The sequence below is a fragment of the Homo sapiens genome, chromosome 7, assembly GCF_000001405.40.
Source record: "Homo sapiens chromosome 7, GRCh38.p14 Primary Assembly".
Taxonomy (NCBI): domain Eukaryota; kingdom Metazoa; phylum Chordata; class Mammalia; order Primates; family Hominidae; genus Homo; species Homo sapiens.
In genome coordinates, this window is record NC_000007.14 from 48,922,918 (window position 1) to 48,927,770 (window position 4,853).

At 43.4% G+C, this 4,853-nt stretch overlaps 1 protein-coding gene across 1 annotated transcript; it reads left to right on the plus strand.

Annotated features, from left to right (window-relative positions):
- The first annotated feature begins 1,629 nt into the window (after window positions 1-1,629).
- CDC14C (cell division cycle 14C) lies at window positions 1,630-4,537 on the plus strand. The gene has a single exon (NM_152627.3). It carries the CDS (start codon window positions 1,756-1,758, stop codon window positions 3,097-3,099), a length of 1,344 nt encoding a protein of 447 aa, NP_689840.2. The 5' UTR covers window positions 1,630-1,755; the 3' UTR covers window positions 3,100-4,537.
- Window positions 4,538-4,853: the final 316 nt, after the last annotated feature.

Genomic DNA, 4,853 nt, shown 5'->3' on the forward strand with positions numbered 1-4,853 from the left:
TGCTTTATTACTTTTTCTTAGAAGCATGGCCTTCTCAGCCTACCTTTCACTTATTTCAGATATGGCTACCCAGATTAAATTTTACATGAGCATTTCACTCGGGGACCGCAAAGAGAATAAGGAGGGGCTCTGGGACTCAAGTTTACCTCATAGAAGAAGGGATCTGAGTGGCCCAACCTGGATGAAGTGACTTTTCTAATCAGTTGTCTTTAGGATTTTTAAAATTATTATAAACAGGGGTCTAAGTGTTCATGGATAGTGTGGTGACTATACAAGCAAATTCCAAGAGCAAGACTGTCTCATATGAAAAGTCGCATTTCTTAGCAAGAACCAGGTCTCTAGCAAAGAGCAAACATTCAGTAAATTGTTTCTGAATCTATTAATAAATGATAAGAAAAGGCAAGGGAAATCAACATCCTCACTGCATGCCTTCAGACGTGTGTTTCCTATCAGATACGGGTATTCCAACAGAAACTGGAGAAAAGAAAATACAATGCATTCACTGGACAGAAATATTGTGGACGGGGGGCAAGCATTGGGACAGTGGTGAGCAAAATTATTCTTGAGGTCCCCATTAATCAAAATATTTGTGGCATCCAGAAGCTTGAATCTTTAAGGACAAATATGAATCTTTACCCATCTTCTTTTACTCTTCTCTCCTTTCTCCTAAACTAACTCTAATATATACATTTACTTTTAAAATTTCATAAAGCCTATCTAATTGGGAATTTAGGTCTCACTCCTTGTGGACACCAGAAGGATATAAATGATTAGGGGAAATCCCACCAAACAGAAAGGGCAAGAAGATGTATGAATGAGTAGTAAGCTCAAGAACAACCCATCAGTCCTCTTCTTTATTTTACCCCCAAACCAAAACTTAGGGATGAAGCTTCACGAAGCTCTCTTTTGTGAAGGAGAGAGGCCTGTTCCGTTGCCAAGGAGTGCAAAGCTGCACATTGGCTTTGGGATGACATTGGGTATAAAATTTATCACTTGTGATATCCCTGTGTGATCTTCTACACACATTGTTTAGCTTCTCCAAGACTTTTCTTTGGAAAGCCCACATAGAACAGAAAAAAGAAATGCCATCTTTTAAACTATCTATTTAACTATCTTGTGGCCCCATGTTTCCAAGGTTGGGGTATTGGGAGAGTTGGTGAAAGAGCAATATGTCAACATTAACTTGTCTCCAAGCAGGCATGACTTTCAATATCAAATGGTCACAACCTCCAACTTTTAATGGATCCTAAATGAGTGCTTCAAAAATACTGTCATTTGGTAATAAAGTCATACTCGAAGTAACACTTATTTGGCTGAATTTCCAGAGACTGGAGAGAAGGTTAAGATCCAGGTGGTTGCTATGACAAGAGCATGATGACTTATTCATCCAACACTTTGTTGATGTCAGTATGATATAGCCCTTCAGTTCATGGTTTAAAAAAGCAAAGGGAGGGCGGTTGCGGGAGGGAGCGGGGCAGGCGCTGTGGGCCAGGCCCCTCCTCTGGCTCCTGCACCACCGCCTCTTTTCGGGCTCCGCCGGCTCCCGCCGTCCCTGCAATGCCGCTCTGTGCCCGCCGTCCTGAGAGCCCGCGCGGCACTGGCGCCAGCCTTGGCGGCGCGCGCGGGGCCGTGGTCGTTGCTCCCTGACTGGCCGCGGCGGCCTCCAGGAAGCGGAAAAGCAAGGGGCGGTCGAGCTGGGCCGCCGCGCCCCACTGCTCGCCGCGCTGCTCTTTGACCTCGCAGGGTGTGAAGAAGATGCGCAGCTCCACGCTGCAGGACCCGCGCCGCCGGGACCCCCAGGACGACGTGTACGTGGACATCACCGATCGCCTTCGTTTTGCCATTCTCTACAGCAGACCAAAGAGTGCATCAAATGTACATTATTTCAGCATAGATAATGAACTCGAATATGAGAACTTCTCCGAAGACTTTGGACCACTCAATCTGGCAATGGTTTACAGATATTGTTGCAAGATAAATAAGAAATTAAAGTCCATTACAATGTTAAGGAAGAAAATTGTTCATTTTACTGGCTCTGATCAGAGAAAACAAGCAAATGCTGCCTTCCTTGTTGGATGCTACATGGTTATATACTTGGGGAGAACCCCAGAAGCAGCATATAGAATATTAATCTTTGGAGATACACCCTATATTCCTTTCAGAGATGCTGCCTATGGAAGCTGCAATTTCTACATTACACTTCTTGACTGTTTTCATGCAGTAAAGAAGGCAATGCAGTATGGCTTCCTTAATTTCAACTCATTTAACCTTGATGAATATGAACACTATGAAAAAGCAGAAAACGGAGATTTAAATTGGATAATACCAGACCGATTTATTGCCTTCTGTGGACCTCATTCAAGAGCCAGACTTGAAAGTGGTTACCACCAACATTCTCCCGAGACTTATATTCAATATTTTAAGAATCACAATGTTACTACCATTATTCGTCTGAATAAAAGGATGTATGATGCCAAACGCTTTACGGATGCTGGCTTCGATCACCATGATCTTTTCTTTGCGGATGGCAGCACCCCTACTGATGCCATTGTCAAAAGATTTCTGGATATCTGTGAAAATGCTGAGGGTGCCATTGCAGTACATTGTAAAGCTGGCCTTGGTCGCACAGGCACTCTGATAGCCTGCTACATCATGAAGCATTACAGGATGACAGCAGCCGAGACCATTGCGTGGGTAAGGATCTGCAGACCTGGCTTGGTGATCGGGCCTCAGCAGCAGTTTTTGGTGATGAAGCAAACAAGCCTCTGGCTGGAAGGGGACTATTTTCGTCAGAGGTTAAAGGGGCAGGAGAATGGACAACACAGAGCAGCCTTCTCCAAACTTCTCTCTGGTGTTGATGACATTTCCATAAATGGGGTCGAGAATCAAGACCAGCAAGAACCCAAACCTTACAGTGATGACGACGAAATCAATGGAGTGACACAAGGTGATAGAAGTCGGGCCCTGAAAAGGCGAAGACAATCAAAAACAAACGATATTCTTCTCCCATCTCCCCTGGCTGTGCTGACCTTTACACTGTGTAGTGTTGTCATCTGGTGGATTGTTTGTGACTACATTCTTCCCATCCTGCTATTCTGACTCAAAGATTTCAGAACATAGTAGCCATCAGGACCCCCTGACAGATAGCTGCTTCTCTCCATTTCAAGGACTAAAATGGTTTTGCATTAAGTAAAAACCTGTGACCAGAACTGAAGGAAGACTCTAGGAACTGAAAACTGCAACAGAAATTAGCACAATTTGAAAACAAAACAAAATTGCAAAAGACTTAGTTGCTTTCCACCTAAGAAGCTAATCAATGGGGAAAATGTCCACGGGGTTTCAGTAATGAACTTTTGAGTTTGGGTGCAAGCAAATGTACCAAGACCAGCTCAGTCAGGGAGACCCTACCCCAGTGGTGCTAGAGGAATTAAAGACACACACACAGAAATACAGAGGTGTAAAGTGGGAAATCAGGGGTCTCACAGCCTTCAGAGCTGAGAGCCCCGAACAGAGATTTACCCACATATTGATTAACAGCAAACAAGTCATTAGCATTGTTTCTATAGATATTAAATTAACTAAAAGTATCCCTTATGGGAAACGAAGGGATGGGCCTAATTAAAGGCATAGGTTGGGCTAGTTAACTGCGGCAGGAGCACGTCCTTAAGGCACAGATGGCTCATGCTATTGTTTGTGGCTTAAGAATGCCTTTAAGCAGTTTTCCACTCTGGGCTGGGTGGGCCAGGTGTTCCTTGCCCTCATTCCGGTAAACCCACACCCTTCCAGCGTGGGCATTAGGGCCATTATGAACATGTTACAGTGCTGCAGAGATTTTATTTATGGCCAGTTTTGGGGCCAGTTTATGGCTGGATTTTGGGGGGCTTGCTCCCAAAAAGAATGACTCAAAGAAAGGCCCAGCTCTCAAGCTGAATGACAAAAATGCTGTTGTAAATTTAGTCTCAGGTGTAAATACCCAAGCCCTCTGGTACTCAGGGAGCTGGCTGGTCTGTGGTGCATGTGTGTCCTTGTGATGGCAAGCATTGTAGTTGATGGCCTTCAGAAGAATTGAGGATCTGATGGAGGTTTTTTAATGTATTTATTTTCTGTTCAGCTTGTGACCCTGTGTCAAAATTTGTAAAGATACAAAAGGCATTACTGAAATGGTACTTTCTGTAATTTGATACTATTTGGCTTTACCATCTTCACTTGACTGTTTGTAATACTGTAGTAATATTAACTCTGATAAGTACCCAAGCTGCTTGTCTTCTACCAAAGAGTGCTTTATTAACAAGAATCTGTGAAAACCACATTTTAAACACTGTTGCATGTTGTAATACCAGGTGATACCTTGGTAACCTAAAACTTGCAAGAGAATATTAGTGGTAGCTTTAGAAGACTCAGGAGGAGAAACTGACTTCAGAGCTGGAAGATGTTGCAAGTCATTCCTTTTTCTGTCCTTTAGGGACTGAAGAACTGGGAGGTTGCCCATTGTTTGGTTGCCAGTCATACAAATTAAAATCATATTTCCTTCCATGCATGGAAAAAACACACTATTGGTTTTTCGCCTTGGAAACAGCAATCCCAAATAATGTCGGCTTTAAAAAAAAAAAGTTACCGCTTTTTTAGAGTCCTTCTCTGTAATATTGGATTTTTTTTTCCTTATGAGATCAGCCTAAGGCCATTGATAAGGCCTGTGATCTCAGTAACAATGATCTGCTTCTGAATCTCACTGTTGCCTTTGGCTAGGGAACACAACTAGTAACTCTGCAGAGTGCCTTCTCCCGCAACCCTACTGGAACACAGCAGAGTCTGTGCCATGAAGAAATTAGAGAAACAGAATTGTTTCGCTGCTA

Bases quoted from the DNA above. Each gene is read 5' to 3' on its own strand.
- CDC14C (NM_152627.3), top strand. From the start codon at position 1,756: ATGCGCAGCTCCACGCTGCAGGACCCGCGCCGCCGGGACCCCCAGGAC.